General features: G+C 40.4%; 1 long non-coding RNA gene across 2 annotated transcripts in view; it reads right to left on the bottom strand.

Moving 5' to 3' along the window:
- The window catches only part of LINC02391 (long intergenic non-protein coding RNA 2391), a 104570-nt gene that overhangs the window by 20745 nt on the left and 70554 nt on the right, over window positions 1-13271 (bottom strand). The window contains exon 3 of one of the 2 annotated variants that reach the window (XR_007063403.1): window positions 8477-8600. The exons of the other annotated variant lie outside the window; for it this stretch is intronic. This is a non-coding gene — a long non-coding RNA (long intergenic non-protein coding RNA 2391). The remainder of the gene's footprint in view (window positions 1-8476; window positions 8601-13271) is intronic. 2 annotated transcript variants of the gene reach the window in all.

Raw genomic sequence — 13271 nt, forward strand, 5'->3', positions numbered from 1 at the left:
CAAGAAGTGATTTTGTTTGAATTCTCCGTTTTAGTTTGGGACACTAACAGCTGGGCAGGGATTTTGCTGAACACTTTGTGAGGTTTACACTCAACTTCCTTCTTCAGATTGCTATTTTATATTAAACCAATAGAGCACTGTTATTGAGACACCAGACTGCTACAACTTCAAGAAGATCCTAAACCAAGTAACTTTTTCTGGACCACTCGAGTCTCCATGAACGTAAAAGTCTAATATACTTGAAAAATCCATTGCAGCTCAGGAGACATTATAGTGGGATGATCTACAATCAGACTCTCTGGATTTGAAGAATCTTCCTACCACTTATCAATGCTGTAAGTTTGAGAGACAATAGAGGTTAAGAATACAGTCCTTCCTTTCTTCCTTCCTTCCTTCCCTTCTTTCTTCCTTCCTTCCTTCCTTCCCCCTCTTTTCTTTTTCTTTTCTTTTCTTTTTTTGAGATAGGGCCTTACTCTATCACCCAGGCTTGAGTGCGGTCACACATTCATGGCTCACTGCAACCCCAACCTCCCGGGTTCAAGCAATCCTCCCACCTCAGCCTCCCCAGTGGATGGGACTACAGGTGTGTGCCACCACCCCTGGCTAATTTTAGTATTTTTTTGTAAAGAGGGGATTTCCACCATGTTGCCCAGGCTGGTCTCGAACTTCTAAGCTTAAGTGATCCACCCGCCTTAGCCTCCCAAAGCGCTTGGATCACAGGCATGAGCTACCACTCCCAGCCTGAAGAATGCAGGCTTTAATCCCAGCATTTTGAAGGGCCGAAGCAGAAGGATATTTTGGGCTCAGAAGTTCAAGACCAGCTTAGGGAATACAATGAGACTCCGTCGCTACAAAAAAAATAAAATAAAATAAATAAAATAAAGTAAAATAGTACAGGCTTTGGAGCTAGACTGCTTGGAATCCTGATTTCATGATTTACTTGGTGGATGATCTTAGGGAAATTCTTCAAACATCTGGGCCACAGTTTCATGATCTGTGGCATGAATATCATAATGGCAATCTATCTCTACATGCTGAGGAGACTAATACAATAAGTTGATACATGTCAGATGCTTTGAACAACACCTAGCACAGAGTAAGTGCTCAATAAATGTTCGTTATAGTGATGCTATTATTCTTTCCCAAATTTTTGCACTTCTGCCAAAGCAATGGCAAAATCAATAAATAAAGGGAACTAACCAAAAAAACTCTGGGGAAAGTGCTGAATTTGGCAAAACTGGGAATCAGGCAGCTCATATTCTTTGGCATCCACTTTCCATTTTGCTGTCTCCTGTGAGTGTCCAAGCTCGTCCTGTAACACTGCACCCAAGCTCAAAATTATTTTCTGTGCTCTTCTTCACACCTACCCTCATCAATCAACTTTCACCTACGCCGGTGCTGTTCCCTGAGGACTTTTGCTCTGAACCAGATGAGAAAAAATATCAATCAAATTTGTTTTAAGGTATTAATGAATACTGACAATGTTATGCTTTTGAAATAGAACACGTGCATTTAAAAAATAAAGATTACCTTATTACCATGAGAAGCTACCAAACCTGAATAGGTAACATGCAGGGTGAGTAGGTATGATATTTTGGGGCAGGTCGAACATTTGATTCACCGTGAATCACAGATAAGCTGCTATTTAGACAACCCATAGAGCTTGTCCTAGAGTTAACTGTTTAATACATAGGGTTATAGACAGACCTTGGGGCTAAAGTGGAATGCGCTGTGCTTAAACACAATGTTATTAGGTTGACAGGCATGGCATCAAAGCCCTAGTGCTACTGGTGCCACAGTTCCCAGGGCCACTGTCAACAAGTCGTGACAAATTGGACAAGCCAAATCTTTCAGTCACATCTGATTTTCCTGAAGACACAGGTACACCTGCCAAAGATGTTCCAGGCAAGAAAGCCAAGACTGCAGGATAGAGCTAGCAAATAGAAAAAAATGGCAAAGGCCTAGCACCAACCTTCATCAATTAGTATAGCTCTGGGATAGGTAGCTTTCTGAATTAGAAAAAAAGGCCAAGGGTAAGGGGATTTGAGTTCTAATCTAACTTTACTATAGTCTTTAAGAAACTCATTGCACTTTATTTTTGAGGGCCCTAGTTGTAAAACTAGGGAAGAGATGACTGAGAGGACTATCTCCTCATCCTCCTCCAGTCAAGGGTTCCAATGGGATTCTGTGGAACCTTTAAAGCCCCACAGAACAATTTAAAGGCCACTACAATGGAAGGCAATGGAGTTTCTTAACCAATGGAAGCTATGGGGAAATTAAGAGGCTGAGTTTAATCTAAGGGAGGGGAAAGTCATATGGAATAAAGTGGAGAGTAAGAAGATTGGACACAAGATCACCAGCTAGAGGTTTTCATAGCAAAAACATAGTCATATAAGATAGGGTAGGCAAGTGACCCTCAGCACTGGCTGCACCCTCAGGAGATTTTTTTCTTTTTTTACATCGATGTCCAGGCTTTATCCCAGAGCAGTTATATGAAACTGTCTGGGTCTAGGGTCTAAGCTTCAGTACAAAAAGCTCTTCATGTGATCCTAATGGTGATCCAGTGGTAAAAACCATCAGTGCAGTTTTTGTTTTTGTTTTAGTAATTAAAAGAAAAAACTGTATGTAAAAGACTTCCCCTGAGAAAATTGCCAGCTAATTAGATAGGAGAGAGAAAGGTCAAGAAAGACTCTACAACAAACTAAGGAGGGAGATTGCCTAAGAGAATGGAAAAGTCATGACAGAAATCTTGGAAATGGTGGACAGCAAATGGTTTTAAGGAGGAAAATGGGTTTGAATTGAATTGGATAGCAGGATATCTGAATGATTCTATCACTTTACAAAGTAATGGTCAGCACCATTACAAGTACAATTACATGATATTACAATTACTTAATTGACCATTACAATTCAAGGGTCAATATAACCCTTGAGTTGACTATTCATTAGCTTTGTTCAAAAGCCCAGCTGAAACAAAACACTAGTGAAAAAAGATGAACTAAGAGGACACCATATATTCCACATTTGTTTTGTTGGCTTGTTTAATTTCTACTGGAGGTTATAAATTATTTGTATGTTTATGAAAGCTATGTACCTAATTCTCAGAAAAATACCACTACAAACACACATATAAAGTTTTGTACGGAGCCCACGCTAAGAATCTCTTCTTTTTAGAGGAATAAAAGGGGGTACCAAGCCAAACAAAGTTTTTATTGTTATCATTATTATTATTAGTTATTGTTATTTTAAGATGGGGAATTACAGACAGAAGGGAAATATAGGTAGGGAAGGTTAGTTAGAACAGGCGTGTATTATACAAACAGCTTTTTTTCTAACAATGAAGTCACTGCTGAGTCTCAAGATGAGGCATTATCTTTCCTAAATGCTTTGGAGCATTTCATGTGTTCTCCTCGTTCTTTATTCTTTGATTAAAATGTTAATGTATTATGTGTACCTGCCCTCACAGCATCCTGGCAACCACAGGAAAACATGCCAGCTCAAAACAACTATCTGCATTTTTAATAACGCCTAGTATTCTCTACAAATAGGATTTCAGAGTCCAAAACTTTTGATTTAGAAAATGAAACAGCTCTTGTTAATTCTAATAGAAAAAGGCAGCTTGATTTCCAATGCTCTGTTTTAATTTGGGTTTTACCAGCCGGTGATTTTATTGAAAGTGAAATCCGTATTCCTGTGTAGCTTAAGCATCTCAACTCTAAAATGGGAAAAATCACAGTTTCAGTAACAGAATTGAGAATGAGGTCCTGGCATCTTTCTTAAAAGGAATTTGGATAAGACTTCTCGATAAATGCTCACAAATTACTCACACCGTATGTCTAAATATACACAAACAGGTTTAGAAAACCTGGTTGGAGTCAACGAAATAATTAGGGATGTGGAAAATAAGTGGGGCTTCTTTATGAGGTTCTTATCCACATGGGCCACGTTTGCTCCAAGGCAGTGAAGAAGGGAGTAGGGGTGGTGTCAAGGTCATGACCAAGATGGAATTCATGTGCCCAAGTTCTTTCTATCTCCATGAAGAAGTTTTGCAACTAGAGATGAGGAAAATGGACTCAGACTGAATCTATAAAAGAGATTTTCATCAGACTATGGGAGGATAAAGATGGGACAGCAGAATCCCTGCAGCTTACTTGGAGTTTGGGCTCAGTTCTGGCTTACTTAGGGTTTGGCCAAACTTTAGTAGTCTATCAAACCTGCAGCTTACCCAGGTCACAATTGAGGTGAGCCCCAAAACTTCACAAGGAGCATTTTGAATCCATCAGTTGAATTAAACAAACAAACAAACAAACAAACCTGAAAGGTATCCCCCTATGGGCTTTGCCCTAAAGAAAATAATGGTTTGTAAGACTAGAGGTGGCATTGACTCATAATCCACCTGAGTTAACTCCCCTCACATTGACAGAAGAGGACTTCTTCATATAAAAATACTCTCGGCCAGGCGCAGTGGCTCACACCTGTAATCTCAGCACTTTAGGAGGCTGAGGAGGGTGGATCACCTAAGGGCAGGAGTTCGAGACCAGTGTGGCCAATATGGTGAAACCCCCGTCTCTACTAAAAATACAAAAATTAGCTGGGCATGGTGGCACGCACCTGTAAACCCAGCTACTTAGGAGGCTGAGGCAGAAGAATTGCTTGAACCTGGGAGGCGGAGGCTGCAGCGAGCTGAGATCGTGCCATTGCACTCCAGCCTGGGAGATAGAGTGAGACTTCATCTCAAAAAAAAAAAAAAATTCTCTATGGGAATTTTGTGTTCTCTTATCCTTAAGGGCCTGCCCATCTTAATCTATACCAGGACACAAATTTATCAACAGCTGGAGCCTGGATTTGAACCCCGGCCAATTTTTGGTGACGATCTAAAGCTTACCCTGCCTGTAGTAGAGAGGAGACAATGTTAGCATTTCTGTATTGAAGCTTTGAACCAGAGGATTGACATTAAGTTAGTCTGATACTGACCTCAACATTTCTTCAGACTGAAACTCCCAAATGAATAAAAAGACAATGCCTATGTCATTGCTCCTGTTGTTTCTGTTAGCATAACATCTTTGATGCATGTTTGCACACTTCTAGACTGTTGTCCTCTCTGGGCCATCCCAGTGGCTGAATCAATGGCAGAAGTTATCAGAGGGAGTGGCCTTCAGATTGCTGGCCAATAGAGGGAAAGAGGAGACAAGGAGAAGTCACAGATAGCAACTGCCTCTGGCACATAGCAAAACAATTTATCTTGAAATCAATGTATCAACTAGCTGCATAAATTACATAAATTATGTTCTGGTTGTCCACATCATCTTCAAAACAATAATCACAAAGATAATAATAATAATAAGAGCTAGGACTTAATCATCCAGCAGTGTCCTAAAAGTATTCATTCATTTAATCTTCATAACAACCCCATAAATACTGCTATTATCCGCATGTGAGGAAACTGAGGCACAGAGAGGTTAAGTAACTTGTCCACGTTAGGCCACTAGAATGTGGCAGAGCTCAAATACTAAAGATGCATCCTGTTGACAACATCATGTAGGTACCTGTGGTCAGCAAGGTAATGGCCCCTCAAGGATGTCCATATCTAGAATCTGTGGATATATTATATTACACGCCAAAGGAGAAATGAAGTTGTAGATGGAATTAAGCATGATAATCAGCTGACCTAAAATAAGATTAATCTGGATTTTCTGGGTAGAATCACAAGGGTTCCTTAAATGTAGAAGAGGGAGGCAGAGGAGTCAATGTCAGAGTGGTATAATGTGAGAAAACCTTGATTGGCCATTGCTGGCTTTGAAGATGGGAAGAGGCCATGAGCCCAGCAATGCAGGCAGCCTCTAGATTCTAGAAAAGTCAAGAAAATAGATTCTCCCCTAAAGCCCACAGGAAGAATGCAGCCCTGACAACACGTTAGTTTTAGTCCAGTGAGACCCATTTTGGATTTCTGACCTCCAGAACCATAAATTTCACATAATAAATCTGTGTTGTTTTAAGCCACTAAGTCTGGACTAATTTACATAGCAGCAATAAGAAACTGAGGCAGTACCTTATTCATAAGTTGCTTTGGATAACATAGAATTTTTTAAGTGAGAGCTAGAAGGCATCTTTAAAGTGGGTATAACTTAACTATTCTCACTTTAGAAGTGAACGGAAATGACTTTTCTGAAGGTTCCCCTCTCCTTGAAGCCTAAAATTACGTGATTCAAAACAAAGACCCCTATGAGTCTACTCATTTGAACGGGCATATAAATGACTTAGAAAAAATACAAGAGCATCTTGCTTATAATACTGCCTGTGTAGTAATGGATTACCTTGAGTCTAGGTTCAGCCTACACTCCTGGGAGCCTCTCAGAACTCCATCTTAGCCAGGTTCCTCCTAAGAAGGGGATGTAAGAAGGAGGCAAAATGAGGGGCCTTGGCATCACGTAGAAGTGGGCTTACATCCAGCCATGCCACTGACTGGCTCGACCTTGAAAAGCCACTTCACCTCCCTGAACCTTTTTTTTCTTTGATTCGTTGATTATAAAATCAAGTTTGATTTGCTTATAAAATCAATGGTATTCAACTCATGAATTCAAATCCAGGGTGTAGACAAAGTCTTCAATACACTTTAGTTCCCCTTCCTGTGCTTTCCTCCATTCTTCTTGAGTCACAGCCAAGGATGGTCATGCTTTTTTTCTGGTCAAGGAGTGAGAATTCTTTTTGTCTTGTGCAAACTCAAGGCAGAAAGTATCTTTATTTCACAGGAGGCTGAAAATTCACAGTAATTGGGGAATAACATTTAAGATATTTCCTTTGTTCTTTTTTTCTGTTTTACTTTCTCCTCTCTTTTACAACACAGGCACTGTTCCCTTGGCATTTGCAAATTTACTTTTTTACTTCTGCAGATGTAGGTGGATCGATTCAAGAAGAGAAACGGTAGCACAAAAGAGAAGAATTTTCCCAGTGCAGAATTCATTTCGGAAAGGAGTGTTTTTCATAATTAGCTCAACATTTGCATGTTTATGAAGTCCCAGACACTGTTCTACATATTTCACGTGGGTTAATCCATTTAATCCTCACAACACCATAAAGTAAGTACTTACATTAGTAGACAAGAAAACTATGAGGCACAGAAAAGTTAAGCAAATTATCCGAGGTCACATAGCAAAGTGGCAGTATTAACATGTGAACCTAGGCAAATGTAGCTTCAGAACGCAGGCTCTCTACCACTTCAACAGCTTATTTACCTCCTTTTCCCAGGAGCTCATTCTATAAAAATTGAGCAAGATAGATGGGAAAAACATATTAGAAGAAAATGAATCACGAAGAGCATCTGAAATAGGTATGGGCTGGGCACGGTGGCTCACGCCTGTAATCCCAGCACTTTGGGAGGCCATGGTGAGCATATTGCTTGAGCTCAGGAGTTCAAGACAGCCTGGGCAACATAGTGAAACCCTGTCTCAACAAAAAATATTAATAAAAGAATTAGCTGGGTGTGGTGGGTTGGGAGGCTGAGGCGGGAGGATGGCTTGAGCCCAGGAGGTGGAGGTAGAAGTGAGCCAAGATGGCACCACTGCACTCCAGCCTGGGTGACAGAGTCAGACCCCGTCTCAAGAGAAAAAAAATAAAAGTTAAAGGAAAAAAACCAGTCTCCAACTGATTTGATAAGAGATCAAATGACCCCACTTCATTTTAAAAATTTAGAAAATAAAAAAGAGAAATAGGTATGGAGCTTACACCATTGAAATCTGATGCTGTTTTCAAATATCCATAATAAAAACACTAATGTCTTAAATATGGGGAGGTAACTCAGTCTAACCAGCCTTGTTTTTCTAAGTAATGGCGTCAGAAAGCCAACTAAGAGTCCTGAGAAAGGGTTTGGGGTTTGCTATTCGTTCCCAGTGCTAAAATTCCTTGACCAAAAACAATCTCAAGATTTCCAAGGGTGGCCAAAATATCAAGCCTGCTTTCTCTGAGGGAGGAAATATTTCCATTTCACGGAGATGAAGTGGACATTTTCTCAGTTGAGTGTTTGATAGTGTTTCTTTACTGGAAATAACTACACGTCTTCTTTGAGAACCACACTTCTAGGTTTTTTTGTTTTGTTTTGAGACGGAGTCTTGCTCTGTTGCCCAGGCTCTGGAGTGCAGTGGCGATCTCGGCTCACTGCAAGCTCCGCCTCCCGGGTTCACACCATTGTCCTGCTTCAGCCTCCAGAGTAGCTGGGACTACAGGTGCCCACCACCATGCCCGGATAATTTTTTGTATTTTTAGTAGAGACGGGGTTTCACCGTGTTAGCCAGGCTGGTCTCGATCTCCTGACCTCGTGATCCGCCCGCCTCGGCCTCCCAGAGTGCTGGGATTACAGGCGTGAGCCACCGCCCGGCCTTTTTTTTTTTTTTAATCTAAAATAAGGCCACTAGTACTACTTCCTTCCTCCCCTTTCAATGCTAAAGGAGAAGAGATCAACTCATTTAGTTCTCTAACTTACCTAGAAGCTGAGCTAGGATTCGAATCCAGTTCCCTAACTCCTCTTCTGGTTCTCCTGCCACTCAGCCACATGGATTTCTTTCTCTTACACACAGGCTCTTTTTGGCCACGGTAAACACACTGACCTTTGAAATATGGAAAGAAAAGCGCTTTGAAATAAAACTGGCACAAACAGCAGTCAGACAGCCGTCATCTGGAGGCTGAAACAAAGAGGAGCATAGTTTTCAAGCTGTCTTCGTAATTACACGAAGCAGTTATCACTCAGGCCCCAGTCTGCGCATTGCCCCCCAAACAAACAGCCGAGGGCTGAGAGAGCACATAGGCCACTTTGTTGCGCCAGCATACTGGGGAGTGGAGAGCCCCCCAGCTAAAATCACATGTGGCTTGGAGTGTTTTCCAGGACTTCAGGCTTTTTCCTTTCTTCCTTCCCCATTAAACCCCTCTGCTCTTCTTGGCAAAGGCCTTCAGGTGAGGTAAGCGCCAATTAACAACAAAGAGCTTGATGTATTTCAAGTTTATGGCTTAGAGCTGTGTTCTCATGAAATATATTCTCCTCTGGTCCAGAAGCCTTGATGGGCAGAGAGCAAGAATTCTGAGTGTGGTTGAAATTTGGTTCATTTTTGCTACTGCCCTAAAAGTGATTTCCCTTTTGGGGGTTTGCTCAAATAGAAAGCAACGAAAACAAACCCAGAAAAGGGCAAAACCAATTCTGAAAACTTCAGCTGCAAAGATAACTGGAGCAGAAGGCTCAGCAAATTGGGTTTTTTGGGGAAAAAAAAATGGCCTTAAATTTCTTATGGGTTCTTTGGAAATAAATATAGCCAGACTTTGGAATGAGTAGGAGGGATGAGAATATCCAATCCAAAGGATCTCTAAAGCCTTTTCCAGCTTCCAAATTTGGATTTGATTTTTCTATCCTGGGAATGGTTTTAATCATGTTACAATCATTTGAGCGTTATCACGTCAATTTATAAAAAATATTTTTGTGAATTGTTTTTAGGCTACAGTGATATGAGATCTGACCAATAAAATGATCTCATTGGACATCTCAGAGCCCTTAAAGAGCAAGAGGTTTGGCAATAGGAATATAAATAGGTTAAAATATATTCCAAAACAATTCCTCTAATCATTAATTGTACTCCATTGTTTAATATTTTCAGAGCCTACTGAATTTAGCAAAGGGAAAGACAGATGCATATTAAAATGCATGCAAATGCTACACACAAGCCACATTTTAATATATTGTTTTGCATTCATAATTTTAGTCTTGTGATTTGTATTTTCATTTGCTTGGGAACAAAGACTTTCTTTTTTCCGCACTTGGGAAACAAGGCAAGACTTGTTTCTGCCAGCATCTTAATAGTATTCCTGAAAAAGCAGCAAACTTAATGGTTCAGGAACTACTCTCCACCACCTGCTTACTGGCCTCTAACAGGGGCTGCATTTACAATGCATTGAAAAGGTGAAAATACGCAATCAATCAGTTGCTTTGTTGCAGAATGGTGAGCAATCATATTTTTGTTGTATTAAAACTGAACAGAATCATTTTTTTAAAAAAATGTAAACTGCTTAAACGTACAGCCTCTTTTCAGCTACAGGGAGTGGCAGAGTGACTTGTGCATTCACCAAATTTCATTCCTTTTTAATCTGGGGACACATACAGACCGTATTGCTCAGCTTCCTTTTCAATTAGGTGATTTCTGGCAATGGAATGTGGGGCAAAATAATGCTTACAATCTCCATTCAAGTCTAGCCCCTTGAATCTATGGTGCATTTCCCTATACTTGTGCTTTTCCCGTGCTCCTGACCTTCTGGCAAGATACAGAGGATCAGGTGGAGAGCATCAAGGGCACTAGAGGAGCCTCTTGATGATGGGAGGCTGGGTTTTCAAATAAAAAGCATGGAACAGAATCTCTGACCCATCTGTCTCCTTTGACCAATGACTCACAAAAAACTATGACTCTCAATCACTGTGTGGTAGTTAGTCTCTAATGGTCCCTATCTGCTGTATTCATACCCTTGTGTGTCCACCTCCTACATGCTACCAGGATCTGTGTGACCAATGACATATGGTAGAAATGATGGGATGTTACTTCCAAGATTGAGCTATAAAAGACTGCAGTTTCCATCTTGGGTGCTTTCTCATTCGTTCTCTCTCTTGGATTACTCTCTCTGGGGGAAGCCAGCTGTCATGTTTTGAGGTCACTCTAACAGCCTGTGGAGATGCTCACATGGTGAGGAATAGGGACCTGCCTCCAACAGCCAGCAAGAAATTGAGGCTTGCCAATAATCAGGTGAGGAAGCTCGGAAAAAAATTCTCCAGCCTAGTTGATCCTGTAGCTCCAGTAAATAGTTTGAGTACCACTTTGTGAGAAACATTGAGCTAGAATTACCTAGTTAAACTGCTCCTGGATTCTTGACCCCCAGAAACTGTGTGAGATAAATGTTTGTTGTTTTAAGTAGCTAAGTTTTAGGGTAATTTGTTACACAGCAATAAATAGTACATAACTATGAACAGGACTGTAAGGTTCAAAGGGTGAAGACTTTGGTTTATTCTTGAAATTTCACCGCCTAATGAAGTGCCTGGATGAGAGCAGGCTTGAATAAACAATGAATGTGGTTTTCAGTAAGATTAATAGTGTGGTTCTTTACATATGATGTGCAAAGTCAACATGTTAGAGCAGCTACCACTTTAAGGCTAGACAGTGAGGTTACTACATATCTCATCCTGGAAGATGGAATCAACTGCACCTAGATTCAGAAAAATCTAGAATCACATTTCTATCAAATGCATAGATAACAGTTTCCAAAACGTTTGTATAAAGAAGAGAAAAACTCAGCTATCTAGTTCTGTTTGTGTGTTCAGATTATCACGCTTATGCTTGTACAGACTAGGTTCTCTTCTAATAGCTACACATGTTAATTTATTTAATCCTTACAACAATCCAGTAAAGAGCATGTTGTTATTCTTCTGATTTTAATGATGAGGAAACAATATGCTCTGGACTTGCATATTCCTAGGATCTTGAAGTTACCCATTATACTCCATTGCCCTCTCATTTTAACTCATCAAAGAGAACAGAGCTGAAAAGTACAGGAAAGGGTCACTGAATGGATGAAGTGGATGAAGAGATAGCCCTGTAAGAACAGAAAAGAATAATTAAAACTTTTAGATTTGACAAACCCAGGAAGCACTATGATCAAAATTTATGAAATCCTGAAGGAAATGCATTTATTTACCCAAACTGATACACATCACAGGAATGGGGCCCGCCTTGATGTTTATTAGAGATCATTTAGGAGAACCTGAATGCATGCTGCTTCCAAATGATGGGATATACGTTCTGCCTTCATTCCAGCTGCTTAGAGACAAGACCCACCATCCCAGAGACTGCAGTGAAGAGGAAAAGAATATCCCAAACCACAGGCAACCACCTCCTTGTGGCGCAGCCAAGAGCGGTGTGCTTGGCCTCCCTGCTAATTAGCAAAAACCCTCACCAATTCCTTCCAATGCTTGAAAATCAATGCTAGCCTAAAAAAAAAAAAAAAAAAAATCAGAACTGGGCCAAAGAAGCACTGGGAATGAGTAGACATCTCTGTGTCTGCCTCTCCTGATAGTCCCGTTTTTGCTTGTTTTTCATGGGAACATGTGTATATGGTGACAACTCAGGGTATGTAGTTGCCGCAGGCAGCTTCCTCCGTTTTCTTAGCTCTGTGTTGTGGGAAGGAATGAAAGTTGCTGTTTACAAGGAACACTGCCAATGGGCTAATGGGAATTTTTCATGACTTATGGATGTTTGCAGAACTGAAGGCTTTTGAAATCTGATTTCAAAGCTGACCTAAAGTCTTGGTGACACAGATAATGACCTGTGGAAAGAGGTAATCATGAACACAGAAAATCCTCACTTACTCCGTCTTTTAGGAATTTTGGTTGACGAAATATGCTCCTCTTAATTTTAGGTAGTAAGACAGATTGTCAATCTATAACAGTTGGTGTTAGGCAGAGTTTTAAATTTATCTTTCACTTCATGGGGCAATGAGTTTGCCAAAGAAATGAATGATGCCTTAAACTTTTGCTGGGAGAATATTACAGTTGGGTAGAATAATATGCTACAAAATGTGGAAAGACTGTTTACATAGGAAGAAATTGATATGTCAATTACAAGTTACTCTCAATAATTTATTTAAGCAGGCCCTGAAGGGTCTAATTCTCACAGGGACCAAGTTTGAATTCTTACACTTGAAAAGAAAAATGAATGCTTTATAATGTTCCCCAATTCCAAATGTTCACATATTATGCTGGTAATTGTTTTCTCCAAATCATTCTGAATTGATGAAGTCTTGCTAAAGACTTAAAGAGCCTGCATTTATATATCTTTGTAGTCCTTTCCAGCTGTGGCTCACAAAACCAATTACTTGGCATTAATTCATCATATATAGGCTTTTCCATTAAAAAAAGGATATATATTTTTTCAAAACAGCCAGTGACTGTCATTGTATAAACAAATTCAAAGTCCACTAACAAATGAATCACTAATGTGCAAAAGGCCTTGTTCAGGGCCATCCCCAGAATGAAGGGGCAGCTTTAATGGATTCCGGATATTCTCCTACACTTGACCCAGTATGTCACATGTGTTTGATTACCATCCTTTCCTTTAATTAGTTCTCTCATGCCCACACTAGGGATTGCAGAAGCTGGATTTAAAAATTGCCGGCCGGGCGCGGTGGCTCACGCCTGTAATCCCAGCACTTTGGGAGGCCGAGGCGGGTGGATAACGAGGTCAGGAGATCGAGAC

The sequence above is a fragment of the Homo sapiens genome, chromosome 12, assembly GCF_000001405.40.
Source record: "Homo sapiens chromosome 12, GRCh38.p14 Primary Assembly".
NCBI lineage: Eukaryota > Metazoa > Chordata > Mammalia > Primates > Hominidae > Homo > Homo sapiens.